Genomic DNA, 15,189 nt, shown 5'->3' with positions numbered 1-15,189 from the left:
ATCATCTTGTCTTCTAGCTTGTTTTTCTGAACTCAAATTCTCATTAAGTTGATCTGCAGCACGAAGCAGTTGGAAGGAATCTCCTTCTGCTCCTTGAAGCTGCTTTTCCTCCATGATGGGTTCTTGTTAGATTTTACAGGCTGCAGTCTTTCTTCCTCTTTATTTTTTCATCATAGAATATTTGCACTAGCTACGATGCCACTTCTTTCATCTTGTTTGAGGTTACACATAGCTCTCCAGACATTTTATTTGCAAAGTGTGGGTGATTTCTCAATTCTGTTCCCACTGTATCTAAGACAAGTTTATCGAATTTCTATCCTTTCCATAGCTTTAGTGTGAGGGCTGGTATTTTATGTTCTATCTACTCTTCTGAAGTCTAAGGAAATGTTGGGGCTCAGATGAGAGTGCAGTCTGTTAGAATAAAATACCCAGACTCTCCTCTCCTCTGAGATTTTGTTTTGTGGTCTACCACAGTGCTCAGATCATATTCTAATTTAAATAGAAGCTCTGAGTTCTGGGTAGGGAATCAGCCACTTGGTCAATTTCTCCCCCTTTCACCTGATCCTCCCCAGCAACTATGTCTCCTACTCTTCAGTTACAGTCAAAAACAGTAATGCTCACTCAGTTTGCTTCCTTCCAGATTTTGGGCTATCACCGAGAATTATCAGAATCTCCCCGAGTGTGGTTTCTGTGGGGTATGTAAGAGGTCAGGTCGGCCGGGCGCGGTGGCTCACGCCTGTAATCCCAGCACTTTGGGAGGCCGAGGCGGGTGGATCACGAGGTCAGGAGATCGAGACCATCCTGGCTAACACGGTGAAACCCCGTCTCTACTAAAAAAATACAAAAAATTAGCCGGGCGAGGTGGCGGGCGCCTGTAGTCCCAGCTACTCGGGAGGCTGAGGCAGGAGAATGGCGTGAACCCCAGGGGGCGGAGCCTGCAGTGAGCCGAGATCACGCCACTGCACTCCAGCCTGGGCGACAGCGAGACTCCGTCTCAAAAAAAAAAAAAAAAAAAAAAAAAAAAAAGAGGTCAGGTCACACTTGGTGTTCCATGAGCCTGCTTTAACATTTATTGGATTCGGTGATGCTACTTTGCTTATTTGGTTGACTGCTGACTGATTTCTTACTATTTTTTTTTAAACTTAAAAAAAGCTTTTCTGCTCAAGAGAAGGAAATTTGGTAATGAAGTTTCAACTGGCAATCTTAATCCAGGGGACCAAGACCACTTATTTCACAAGAGGACCATTGGGTAACAAAATGGGAATTGCTTTTTAATGCAACTAAAAAGTTTTGCGTTAACAGGACTGTGAGGAAAATGACAGGAAGAGCAATTCCTAAAATACTTTCATGTAAGAGTATAAATGACTATAAAATCTGTAATCTGGCTGGGCATAGTGGCTCACGACTGTAATCCCAGCACTTTGGGAGGCCGAGGCGGGCAGATCACGAGGTCAGGAGATCGAGACCATCCTGGCTAACATGGTGAAACCCATCTCTACTAAAAATACAAAAAATTAACTGGGCGTGGTGGCAGGCCCCTGTAGTCCCAGCTACTCGGGAGGCTGAGGCAGGAGAATGGTGTGAACCTGGGAGGCGGAGCCTGCAGTGAGCCGAGACTGTGCCACTGCACTCCAGCCTGGGCGACAGAGCGAGACTCCATTTCAAAATAAATAAATAAATAAATAAATAAATAAATAAATAAATAAATAAAAATCTGTAATCTAAGTTCCAGAAACACTACTTCTAAAATGAATCACTAAATTAACTTTTCATGAAAGTTCATTATTTGGAACTATGCTAATATTTACGTGAAACAAATAAAGCTGTAGAAAATCATGTTTTGATCAGTAGAAAAAAAAAGTTATGATCTAAAAAACAATGTGGCTCATGAAGTATGTCAGTCAAAAAAAAGTAATAGGTGATATTAATATTTCCAGGAACAGATGTTTGTGAAGGAAATAAATCATTTACTCCCCCGTTTATCTGATAAATACCTATCTGAGTACCTTCTATGAGCTAAGCTCTGAGTGCAGTGAGTAAACAAGGTCCCTAACCTTGAAGAACTTGGCAAAGGCAGACAAAGAGCAAGTACAACAGTGTGCACTGACATAACAAAAAATCACTAACACTGCCATAAAGAAAATGAGGACTATAAAAAAGAACAGGGAGAAATGTCTGAACTGGATGGTCAGAGAAGATCTCTCTGGGAAAACCACACTGAGATCTAAAGGGTGAGAAGACACCAGCCCTGAGGCACAATAGCAGGAACAGTCTAGACCAAGGGAAGGGCAAACACACAGGCTCTAAAGGTAATGATGTACACCGTACGTTTTGAGTAAGAAAGCAGGTTGGTGGGGCAGGAGTGCTGTGAATGATGGCAGGAGAGGAAAAGACTGAGTCTGGGAAGGTAAACAGTGGTCACATCATGCAGGGCCATTAAGTCCAAAGGCAAGACACTGATGGGTTTTAAGAAGGTAGTAAATGATATTATTTATATTGTTCAATGGCACCCCAGTTCATGTTTAGCAATTTGATTAATAGGAATAAATGGAAATGAACAGATTTGATAGAAACCTACTGCTGAAGACTAAGTAAGAGATAACAGCAGGCTGTACATAAAAAGAATAAATATGACATGTATTTGGTGACAGAGTTGAGAGGGCTTAATATGAAATTATGGTACGAAGAGAAGAACATATGGAAATATCTAAAGATTCCCAGATTTCTTGCTTCAAGAGACAGGGAGGATGTTAGGGTAAAATCACATAATGGTAAATATGTGTCTTTCATAACATCTAGTATAACAGCAGAAGGCACAATCACTTTCATGCCTTTAATTTTACCTTCTCTTCTCATGGTGGCAGCACTAGAGGTGATCAGATTTGGGACAGATTCTAAAGGTAGAGCTAACAAGATATGACCTATCGTGTCAGACAGACACTGGGGTAGTCCTCATGATGTCCACCTCCTGGTATTCATAACCATGTACAATCCCCTCCCCTAGGAGGTAAGCAGGATCTATGACTTGCTTTTAACAAACAGAATATGGCGAAGATGATAGGATATCATTTCTGTGACATCCATCCTGCTAGCAGACTCAGTCTAGAGACTCTTCTTGTGGCCTGATGAAGTAAGCAGCTATACTGGTGAAGCTCAGCTGACAAGAAACTGGGTGGCCTCTAGGAACTGAGGTAAGCTCTAGGAGCTGAAGGCAGCCTCCGTAAATTAAGGACAGCCTCAAGTCAATAGCCAGCAGAAAGCTGGGACCCTCGGTTCTATAACTACAAGGAAATTGATTCTGCCAGCAACCTAAGTGAGCTTGGAAATGAATTCTTCCTCACTCAGGCCTCTAGATGAGAATGCAGGCCAGCTGACACCTTGATTACAGAGGACTCCTGACCAACTGAAATGGTGATAATAAATGCAAACTGTTTTAAGGTGCTAAGTTTGTGGTAATTTGTTATGTAGCATGAGATAACTCATAAATATACCAATACGGGGTGTGAAGAAACAAGAAGTCACAGATGACCCAAGATTTCTGCCTTAAGTAAATAGAAGGATGGAGTGGCCATTAACTGGGGGGGACATCTGGGGGAAGAGCAGCCTTGAGAAAAAGATGAGTGTGGGACATGCTGAGCATAAGATGCCTAGTACACAGCCAGAAGGTTGAGATGTCAATTAAAGAGCTGGAGATAGGGGATCAGGTAAAAAGTCTAGGCTGCAAATACAAATTTGAGAGTCACCAAGTATAAAGGCCAAGATACTATATGAGGTCACCAAAAGAGTGAATAAACAGGCAGCAATGGACCAAGGGTTAAGCCCTGGTCTGACATCATTCAGAAGTCAGTCAGCTGAAGAGAAACCAGCTAAAGAGGCTGAGAAGGAATATGGAATTAAAAAAAATATCAAGGGGATGTGGTGTCCTAGAAGCCAACTAAAGAAAGTGTTTAAAAGAGGAGGGAAGGATAACTGTATCAAATGTTGGTGCCAGATCAAGTAAGATAAGAACTAAGAATGGAAAATAAAAAATTCAGCTCCTAAGTCACACTAGCCATATTTCAGGTATGAAATAACCACATGTGGCCAGTGATACAACAGGGTAAATACAGAACATTTGAATGATGCCTGAAACTTCTATGAGACAGCACTGATCTACAGAAAAGATGACCATAAAGGGGCACAGATATAGGTGAAGGGGAAATGTGGTGGTAGGAGTTTGTGGAAATCATTTTCTGACCTTTATCTTTCAAAAGAGAAGCAGGAAGCAAGGCCATTAACTGAGAATGAAAACAGAAGGAAAGGTGGTAGGAATCTGAAAAATGAAAAGAAGATATTAGAGTTAAGAAGGAGAACAGGAGAGGGAGAGAGAAAGAATCAATGAATTATGGACCCATGTGGAGATCAAACACTGTTAGGGTATTAGAGAGAAATATCTGAAAAGATTGAAAAGTGTCTCAGGTAAGATTCCCTGCAAGCAGAGCTGGAGATAGAGATTCCTGTACAAGTGATTTACTGAGGGAATACTCTTTTGACAAACATCAGGAAGTGAGACAAGCAAGGTAGTAGGAAGGAGAGGATAAGTAAAAAGGTGGTCTCAGTTGAAGTATAGCTTTGGCCTGATCCCAAGGGGAGCCCTGGAACATGAATTTTCCCATGTAGAAGCAGGGTCAGACTCATGTACCTCCATCCAGCCAGTCAGCAGCTGGGGGCCAGGGTGACCATCCCATTTCGTCCAGTACTGAGGGGTTTCTTGGGATACAAGACTCAGTGCTAAAACTGGGAGAGTTCCAGGCAAACTGGTTGGTCACTACACTAGGGGACATCCTGGGGATAGAGCATAGTATTCTAGGTGTTCCTGGGTAAGACAGCTCCAATCTGCTGAGAGAATTCTTCAGAGAAAGGGTCAGCTATGAACTGACAACAGCCAAATTGCACAGCATCAGGTGACTGGGTGCACTGCACCAGCCAGGTAAAGATAAACAGATCTGGGCAAGGCACCAACAGTGTCCACCACAGAAGAAGCAGGGTGGAATGTGGAACGTTTAGAAATGAGATTATGGAGGGGCTGCAGTTATTGATAATGACACAGTCTAAGAGGTGCCCACACAAATGACTTGCTGAGGTAGAGTCTGGAAAGAGCATGAGCCCCTGAACAACTCTGGGGCTTCCTCTGGGTTGTCCAGCCAAGAAAGAATAGACCCTGACAGGTCTCTTTCCCCCCAGAGGGAAGGGGGATGTGTAAGAAAAGCTCTGTAGAGATCCAATCTCCTACGAGATCTCTGGGTGCCACCTGTGCCACTCCTAGGGCTGGCAAACAGCTCTTCTGATGAAAAACATGAAAATGCCTAAAATCTGTGTACCTAAAAACTGTAATAAGATGTGACTTTAAATTCATATTCAGGAAAGCATTTGTTTTCCAGGCAAAGAAAATAGTTTGAATCTATGTATGGGGAAAGAAAAGAACCTGGAGGAAATCTACTAACCTGACCTGACCACTGCAGGAGTCTCATCAGAAATTAAAGGGCTCGAACAAAGGCAGCAGCAATGGGAATAGAGATTGGGCCAGTTCAATCCTACACAAAAAGAACGAAGCTGGAGGCAACAGGTTACCCGACTTCAAACTATACTCCTGGGCTACAGTAACAGTAACAGTAACAGCATGGCACTAGTACAAAAACAGATACATAGACCAATGGAACAGAATGGAGAGCCCAGAAATAAGGCTTCACACCTACAACCATCTGATCTTCAACCTCTGTCTCCCAGGTTCAAGCAATTCTCCCATCTCAGCCTCCTGAGCAGCTGAGACTACAGGTGCCGGCCACCGCACCTGGCTAATTTTTGTATTTTTAGTAGAGATGGGGTTTTATCCTGTTGGCCAGGCTGGTCTCAAACTCCTGATCTCAAGTGATCCGCCAGCCTCAGCCTCTGAAAGTGCTGGGGTTATAGGCGTGAGCCACTGCGCCTAGCCTGACCAAGTTTTATTATAGATGTTGCTCATGTTTCTCTGATTTTGCTAGACTAGTTGTGTGATGTGTTTTAATGACTATGTTTGGGGGGATGCAGAAACTAGGCCACCACTGCCATATTTCCAGAATCCCTTAATGAACAGATGCTGGGTTTTTTGACAATCTTCATTAATAGAAAATGCCTAGAAAAAAGTTCCAGGTAATAAAATCAGCAAGATTAAATGTTTATAAATTTTTTTCTACAAGTCCACCTCCATAGCTAATTCCACTATGACAACACATATTCTCCCTTCAAAATGAGCAGCACGAGATTAGCAAATAGACCTTGAAGCCTGGGACATAGTAGACAATGGTATAATTTCCACTAGCAAACTATAAATTCAAACCATTTGACCTTGGAACTATTAATTAAATTAAAAGATAAAATAATCCCCTACTTATATAGAACTTACTACATATACTTAAAGCAAAACATCAGAGACAGTATTTGAAAAGAGGTGAATGCTTATCATGACAATGAATTTTTTGTAGCATTCAATTTTAAAAACTCAACATATGTCAAAACACTTTGAAAGACTACTACCAAAATATTAACAGGGATTTTCTTTAGGTAGTAGAATGACTGGTGATTTATTTTTGCTTATCTGTGCTTTATAAATTTTCAAAATAAAAAACTAAGCTTCTTGCAAAAATGTTTAAAACGACTTACGCTAGAACCATGTTATAATCTGAGTGGTTGAACATATATCCTCCAACAACCCACATAATGTTTCCATTGACCACAGCTTTATGAGATGCTCTGGGGAGCTTTAAGTTAGAATATTCCTCTCGAGTCCAAAATGACTGGTTAGCTGGTACAGGAACTGAACATCCAGGACCTAATAAAAACATAATGAATTAGCTTCACAAAAGACAGCTTTAAAGCTTACTGCATTTCAAGTTTTAATTATCTAAATGTAACAAATATTTAAATAATAGTCTTTCCTTTAGCATTTAAATATCAGACAAATCCTTTAATTTGTTATTTTAATTTATTCAGGGTATTGACCAAGGGTAAATCACATACTTTCTAATGATGACTTGACTATATCCAGGTTAGGGTTTTTTTGGTAATGAAATACCTGCTTAAGCAACTCTCAGGAGAAAGCACAGATAAATAAATAATTAACTCACATGAAAAATCTTAAGGATAAAATATACAGTTATCCCTCAATATCCACAGGGGACTGGTTCCAGGATGCCCTTGGTACCAAAATCCACAGATGCTCAAGGTCCCTAATATAAACTAGTGATGTAACACTTGCATATAACCTACACACATCCTGCCATATACTCTAACTCACCTCTAGATTACTTATAATACTTAACACAATGTAAATGCTATGTAAATGGTTGTTTTCATATGCGTATCTTTTATTTGTATTATCTTTTTTTTTTTTTTTTTTTTGAGATGGAGTCTGGCTCTGTTATCCATGTTGGAGTGCAGTGGTATGATCTCGGCTCACTGCAACCTCCACCTCCAGGGTTCAAGACATTCTCCTGCCTCAGCCTCCCAAGTAGCTGGGATTACAGGTGCCTGCCACCATGCCCACCTAATTTTTGTATTTTTTAGTAGAGACAGGGTTTCACCATGTTGGCCAAGCTGGTCTCGAACTCCTGACCTCAGTGAGCCGCCTGCCTTGGCCTCCCAAAGTGCTGGGATTACAGGCATGAGCCACCACACCCAGCCTGTATTATCTTTTATTGTGTTTTTTTCCTGAATATTTTCTACACATGGTTGTTTGAATTTGTAGATGCAGAACTTGTGGATATGGAGGAATAAGTTTGATAACTAGACCCGGGAGCAATCATACAAACTATCCATCTTCTGGTAAATCAAAAAACTTAAACAAATTGAAGAAACAGACTCCATTCTTGGGAGGTTTGGCTTCTGCTGCAATATTTGCACAATGGTAGATACTGAAATTCTTCAATTATTAACTCTAAAATGTCAGCCAAACCCAACAAACTAAGGTATTTAAACCAGCATATTTCCTTTCAAAGTAAAAAGGTTCTGAGGAAGGGGTAAGTTTACAAGAAAAATCACCAAATTAATAACAGTTATTATCACTCACCCCTTAAATAATTCCCTAAAGCTTCTTTAATTATTTCTGTAGATAACTATTAGCTAACTCCTTTAAGATTCTAATGTATAACTGACACCAATTTTCTCTGAACTTAGAGTGTGTTTCTGAGGAAATATCATTATTGTCAGCTCTTGTCCCATCTCCCAGCTTGGCTCTCTGCTACATCCTTTTATGACTGAGTCCAAGTTCTCCAACTTTCACACACAGGATGCAAAAAATGGCCAACCCTCCATAATTCTAAAGACCATGACCACACATGTATGAAACCGAAATTCATAAGCAGCTAGATAGAGGGATGTTTCAAGCTTAAATGCTACCTCGTATTTGATTAATATAAATTATATAGGTGCTAAGAATAAAGTCAATCTATAATTTATTTAGTGGGAATGTTCTATAAATGGAAGAAAAAATAAAAATGAAAGAAGCTCCTACCCTGCCAGTCTGAGAAGCAGGAGCATCCTCTGACATCACTTGAATTGCAGATGCCTCGATGAGGAAAACCACAGTTGTCTGTACAGTGAGGAATGTCACATGCTTCACCTTTCCAGTTTTCAGAACATTCACATTCAACAGTATCGCTGCTATTACTGATCTTACACTCTCCTCGGCCTGAGCAGTTATTTGGACACATATCAAAACTGTAAAAATAGCAGGGAAAATTACATTAACACAACGCAACGCTTCCATTAACTTAGCATAACTTCCTCCCACACAAGTTTAAGAATCTCACTGTCTCAGTTCATTCACAAGTGTAACTGCAGTACTTAAGGATTCAGTCCAAATGGGTTTGCTCAACACTGCATAGCTAGAGCCCGAGGTACAAGTAATGAAATCAAATCAACCCTGCTGGATTCTCATAATAAGAGGATAAGAATAAATAACTCATAAAGTCAAAGAAATTAAAGGAGGTAGGAGATTTGTGCAGAACTGTTAGCTCCTCATGGGTGGGAGGACTATCCTATTCTTCTTGGTAGCCTCCTAATGATGAGCTTTACAGAGTTGCTGAATTCATGCTTGGAAGTCTGGGAAGGAAAAGAATAAAACAAACTGCCAACAATAAACTACCATCCTCATGGTACATATTCCTCTGTACACTCTCTGAAAATTTGTATTTAATAGAATTTAAGGTTACTGCCCAGATTGGTATATTTAAAATTCCTTAGTAATTTTATCTACTCATTTCAGATGGAAGAAGGCAGGCTAGTTTAACTTAATGTAAGAATTGAACTATGGCCAGGCGCAGTGGCTCACGGCTGTAATCTCAACACTTTGGGAGGCCGAGGTTGGCGAATCACGAGGTCAGGAGTTCAAGACCAGCCTGGCCAACATGGTGAAACCCCGTCTCTACTAAATATGCAAAAAATTAGCTGGGCGAAGTGGTGGGTGCCTGTAATCCCAGTTACTCAAGAGGCTGAGGCAGGAGAATTGCTTGAACCCAGGAGGTGGAGGTTGCAGTGATCCGAGATCATGCCACTGCACTCCAGCCCAGGTGACAGAGTGAGACTCCGTCTCAAAAAAAAAAAAAAAAAAAACAGTTGAACTATAACGCATCTCATAATAATATAATTGTACTGACAGTGCTTTGAAACAATGTAATTCAGAATTTAAAAGGGGGGATAAATGGACTATCAAGGTACTTTAATGAGTATAGATTTCTTCTACTATCGAGTACATGACAACTACTAATATTTGTGGAGCTGTACTTTGTAAAATTCCAACGTTTTTGTCCATTAGCAGAAAAGTCCCTCTCTTCTAGAAGTTCAACAGCATCAACACCTGGGTTTAAATTGTGGTCCCACCAGTTACTTTGACAATCTACTAACCTTTTCCTGCCAGTTTCCTCAATTATAAATAAGCAGAAAAACAGAGCCCAGACCTCACTGAATTTATGGAAGAATTTTAAATGAGAAAATCCATGTAAACTGCCTGACGCTATGCCTGGCTCTCAATCTATGTTAGCCATTATTGTTGTTAAAACATAGTAGATAGTCTCCTGAATGAAATCACAAATACTAGACTTAAGTATCTTACCTGTAAGTAATATTAAATCCAGTCAAATTATAAGCAGCATCACTAAAAAAATGCAGCAAGGCATAACCTGATGTGGCAACAACCTCAGGGACAGTCTCATTGCCATCTCTCTCAGGAACAATGAGGCCACTGAAATGAAAACACACTTCTTATAGAGGGAAGCACAAGCACAGACATGTCAAATTGTAGCAGACAGAAATTAAAAACAAATCCGTCCTTAAAATTTAAAAACCACATCCAGGAAGACAGGCAAATTCCTGTGATAAACACACAGTGCTACCCTATCAGTTCTGGATCCTTGAGGAACAGATCTGAATCTTTTGCTAGGCTTCCTTTATTCTGAGTTGTATTTCTAATGAGATTTGAAATCAATGGCCCTATTCTTTTTCTTATAAAACTTTTTATACTGCTTCTTTGAAAAAATAAACCTCCACAATCACATAAAGTAACAAATTTTATGAGTGATGAATACCACACATATATTGCTGAAAGACATGAGGTTTTTGTTGTTTTTTTTTTTTTTTTTGAGACAGAGTTTCGCTCTTGTTGCCCAGGCTGGAGTGCAGTGGTGCAATCTCAGTACAATCTCTGCGTCCCGGGGTTCAAGCGATTCTCCTGCATCAGCCTCCTGAGTAGCTGGGATTACAGGTGCCCACCACCATGCCCAGCTAATTTTTTATAGTTTTAGTAGAGACAGCATTTCATCATGTAGGCCAGGCTGGTCTTGAACTCCTGACCTCAGGTGATCCACCCACCTCGGCCTCCCAAAATGTAGGGACTACAGGCGTGAGCCATTGTGCCCAAGATATTTTATATAAAATATTTATATAAGAATACGAAGAAGCTAAACAAACACCCATAACTCCAACACTGTTAGTATTCTGATGCATTTTCTTAGCCTAATTGATGTTATTTACATTGTATATTCCATTTTACAAATAAAACTTAACGCATTTTCTATATCATTAAAAGCTCCCTAGGTTCTTCTTAAGACCTCACTCACAACCCAGCACATGACGGATTCTAAATGTTTGTTGTGTGACTGGTAAAAAAAAAAAAAAAAACCTTACTGAGTAAAAGGGTCTAAATGATGCCTTTAAGACTCTAGAGCCATAATACCAACTTGCTTTCCAGAAGAGATATGTGATTTGAAATCGTATCAATACAGAATGAAGGGTCCATCCCACTTCACTCTGCCAACAGCAAGGACTACTAGTTCTATTTTAATTTTGTTAATTTAATAAGTAAAAAGCAATTTTTAAATTGTGGTTCTGAGTTCTTTTTACTCCTGAGGTTAATTGTTTTTCTTATGTCTACCTGCTGTTGCATTTCTTCATATGTCCATGATTTTTGCCCCATTATTGATTCACCACCACCACCACCACCACCACCACATTTGGTAAAAGCCTATATCCTTGCCAGGCCCTACGCAATCTGTCCCAGACACACAACCTCATGCTCATTCACTCTGACCTAGCAATTCTATTTCTTTGTAGAAGAAATACTTGCTCATGTACACGATGACCAATATACAAGAATGCGAACCACAGCACTGTTCAGATGGCAACAGGTTGAAACCCATCTAAATGCTCATGCCCAGAAATCTGACTGCATGAGTCACTGCATATTACCTAGGTCTGCGGGACTAACAAGAAGCTCAACAGGCATTCTGATAAGGGCATGGGGGAGAAGCAAGCTGCAAAACAATGGACCGTACATGTGTACACTTACACATACCTATATAAATGCATACAAAAATGGCTGGAAGAATCCATAAGCAAGGAATGAAAATGAGGAGGGGAAGGGATTTTCGTTCCTTTTGTTTTGCTTTGTTTTGAGACAAGGTCTCACCCAAGGTCTAGCTAGACCCAAGGTCTAGCCCAAGCTAGAGTGCAGTGGCATGATCACAGCTCACTGCAGTCTTGACCTCCTGGGCTCAAGAAATCTTCCCACCTCAGCCTCCTGAGTGACTGGGACTACAGGCACACACCACCATGGCTGGTTAATTTTTAAGACTTTTTGTACAGATGAGGTCTCACCCTGTTGCCCAGGCTGGTCTTGAACTCCTGGGATCAAGTAATTCTCCTGCCTCGGCCTCACAAAGTGTTGGGGTTACAGGCCTGAGCCACTGTGCCTGGCCCTTCATTCATTTTTTTTTTTTTTCTTGAGACCGAGTCTTGTTCTGTCACCTAGGCTGGAGTGCAGTGGCACAATCTCGGCTCACCGCAACCTCCACCTCCCTGGTTTAAGCAATTCCCCTGCCTCAGCCTCCTCAGTAGCTAGGATTACAGGCGCACCCCACCATGCCCAGATGATTTTTTTTGTATTTTTAGTAGAGACGGGGTTTCACCATGTTGGCCAGACTGGTCTTGAACTCCTAACCTCAGGCAATCCGCCCACCTCGGCCTCCCAAAGTGCTGGGATTACAGGTGTGAGCCACCACGCCTCGCCCTTCAATTTTTAATATGAAGACAGAACTCTAGGAACTCTGAAACTCTGGTGCTCCAGGAGTTACAAAACAGTGATGCATTTTCTACTATGTATTCAACTAACAAATATTTACTAAGCACTTACTACATGTGAGTCACTGTTCTAGGTACCAGGAATACAACAGTGAATAAGACTATGTCCCTGCCTTCATGTAGTTCACATTAGAAAAACAACAGATAAGCCCAGATACTCCCCACACAGGTGTGTGTATACGTAATGCCAGGTAGAGACAAATGCTATGAAGGGAAAGAGAGCAGAGGGAAAGAACAGAAGGTGCTACTTTAGAAAGGGTGAAAGGAAGGCCTCTTAGAAGAGGTGACATTTGATTGGAGATGTAAATGAAGGGTTAACCATCATCAGGCTTTCACTGGTTATATACACCAGAATCCCTTGAAATGCAGAAGGAATAAGTACTGACAAGATCAGGGCCACCTGGAAACAGGTATGTCAAAAGCAATCTTCGGCCGGGTGCAGTGGCTCACACCTGTAATCCCAACACTTTGGGAGGCCAAGGTGGGAGGACTGCTTGAGCCCAGGAGTTCAAGACCAGCCCGGGCAACATGGTGAGACCCCGTCTCTACAAAAAAAAAAAAAAAAAATACAAAAATTAGCTGGGCATAGTGTTGCATTTTTGTGGTCCCAGCTACTGGGGAGGCTGAGGTGGGAGCATCTCTTGAGCCCAGGAGGTTGAGGCTGCAGTGAGCTACGTTCCTGCCTCTGCACTCCAGCCTGGGGGAGAAAGAAAAGGAAAAGGGAAGGGGAAGGGGAAGGGAAGGAAAAGGGGAAGGGGGAAGGGGGAAGGGGAAGGGAGAAGGGGAAGGAGAAAGGGGAAGGGGAGGTGGAAGGGGGAAGGGGAAGGGTTCCTCTAGATCACACAGTCTAACAACTGCCCCACCAGCATATAACTTTCCTAAAAAAAAAAAAAAACTCTAAAAGGAATAATGTTCTTTTGAAGAATTTTCTCAACCACTCTCTCTGCTCTACCACCGCTACCACTGTTTATCAAATACACAGTCCAGGTGAACCACAGAGTGATGTATACCTGCTTGGCTCATGTTCCTACAAGGCTCCTGATAAGCTGATTCAAAGTGCCTGGCATACAACAAGAGCTCTGTGAATTCTGATTAACAAACACAGTAACAAGTGAATCCCCAACAAGTACTATTATGATAACATCACACTTAGTTTTGGGGCTTGTATTAAGGTCTGGGGTGCTTTTTGCTACAAGTTATGTTTCAAATGCTGGCATAAACATATACACTCCAACACTTGGCCAATGCCATTTTAAATGCTCAGCACAGCCATCCACCCTGCTCTTTGGCCTTGTAAGTGAACCTCTAAACACAGAAAATGGCCTTGGTTCTCAGTTCAAAGATATGTCAGAGAGATTTCTAAGCCAAAGCGGGTAGAAAAACACGAGGGCACAACAGTCGCCTGATCTCCTGTCCTTGTGTACTGTTTGCTCTCTGTTACCTCCCTCATCCACATGGGACATCAGCCAGATGAGCCCCATGTGAGAAACACAAAAAATATTTGTTGAACTGATTTCTTTTTAAAGTAAAGGAAATAAAATGTTTGAGACAAAGAAATTTAGAAAGCCAGTTGCAGGTGAAAAACTGAAAACTATGGTTTCCTAAGGGGAAATGCATTTTAGGAAAATATACAGTCATACACCACATAATGACATATGGTCAACAATGGACCACATATATGACAGAGGTTGCATGAGATTGTAATACTGTATTTTTTCTGTACCTTTCCATGTATAGATATGTTTAGATATACAAATACTTACCATTGGGTTACAATTACCTACAGTATTCAGTACAGTAAGATGCTGTACAGATTTGTGGCCTAGGTACAATAGGCTGTACCATATAAGCAGGGTGTACAGTAGGCTATACCATCTATTTGTATGAATATACCCTATAATGTTTACATAATGATGAAATCATCTAATAACACATTTCTCAAAACCTATTCCTGCTGCTAAGTGACACATGACTGTATCTTAAAATCCTCTAGGCCGGGCGCGGTGGCTCACGCCTGTAATCCCAGCACTTTGGGAGGCCGAGGCGGGCGGATCACGAGGTCAGGAGATCGAGACCATCCTGGCTAACACGGTGAAACCCCGTCTCTACTAAAAATACAAAAAATTAGCCGGGCGTGGTAGCGGGCGCCTGTAGTCCCAGCTACTCGGGAGGCTGAGGCAGGAGAATGGCGTGAACCCGGGAGGCGGAGCTTGCAGTGAGCCGAGATCGCGCCACTGCATTCCAGCCTGGGCGACAGAGCGAGACTCCGTCTCAAAAAAAAAAAAAAAAAAATCCTCTATCATGTAAAAGGAAGAAAACTAGAGATAGTTTTGAATTCCAATGTGGCCAAAAACATAATAAACAACACAGCTACTTGCTGCTAATCAAAAGTAAAACACCCAAACAATTCAGAACAGTCCATATATTTGGTGTTAAACTGCTTCTGTTTAACTACTAATGTAAATGTACTTATTGAAAAAAAATATATATAATAAGTATGTTCCTCATTTCTCCACAGGTAGCCACTGTTCATTTTATATG

General features: G+C 41.2%; 1 protein-coding gene across 4 annotated transcripts in view; it reads right to left on the bottom strand.

Annotated features, from left to right (window-relative positions):
- ATRN (attractin) overlaps nt 1-15,189 on the bottom strand; it is a 180,101-nt gene that overhangs the window by 95,102 nt on the left and 69,810 nt on the right. For all 4 annotated transcript variants that reach the window (NM_139321.3, NM_001323332.2, NM_139322.4 and 1 more), the window contains exons 4-6: nt 10,127-10,255; nt 8,528-8,733; nt 6,679-6,847 (exon numbers count right to left, since the gene is read on the bottom strand). In NM_139321.3, the coding sequence (NP_647537.1) occupies nt 6,679-6,847; nt 8,528-8,733; nt 10,127-10,255 (504 nt within the window). The remainder of the gene's footprint in view (nt 1-6,678; nt 6,848-8,527; nt 8,734-10,126; nt 10,256-15,189) is intronic.

The sequence above is a fragment of the Homo sapiens genome, chromosome 20 (assembly GCF_000001405.40).
Source record: "Homo sapiens chromosome 20, GRCh38.p14 Primary Assembly".
In the NCBI taxonomy this organism is placed as follows: domain Eukaryota; kingdom Metazoa; phylum Chordata; class Mammalia; order Primates; family Hominidae; genus Homo; species Homo sapiens.
Note: the sequence above shows the minus strand (reverse complement) of the source record. Positions and strands in the feature narration are given on the sequence as shown.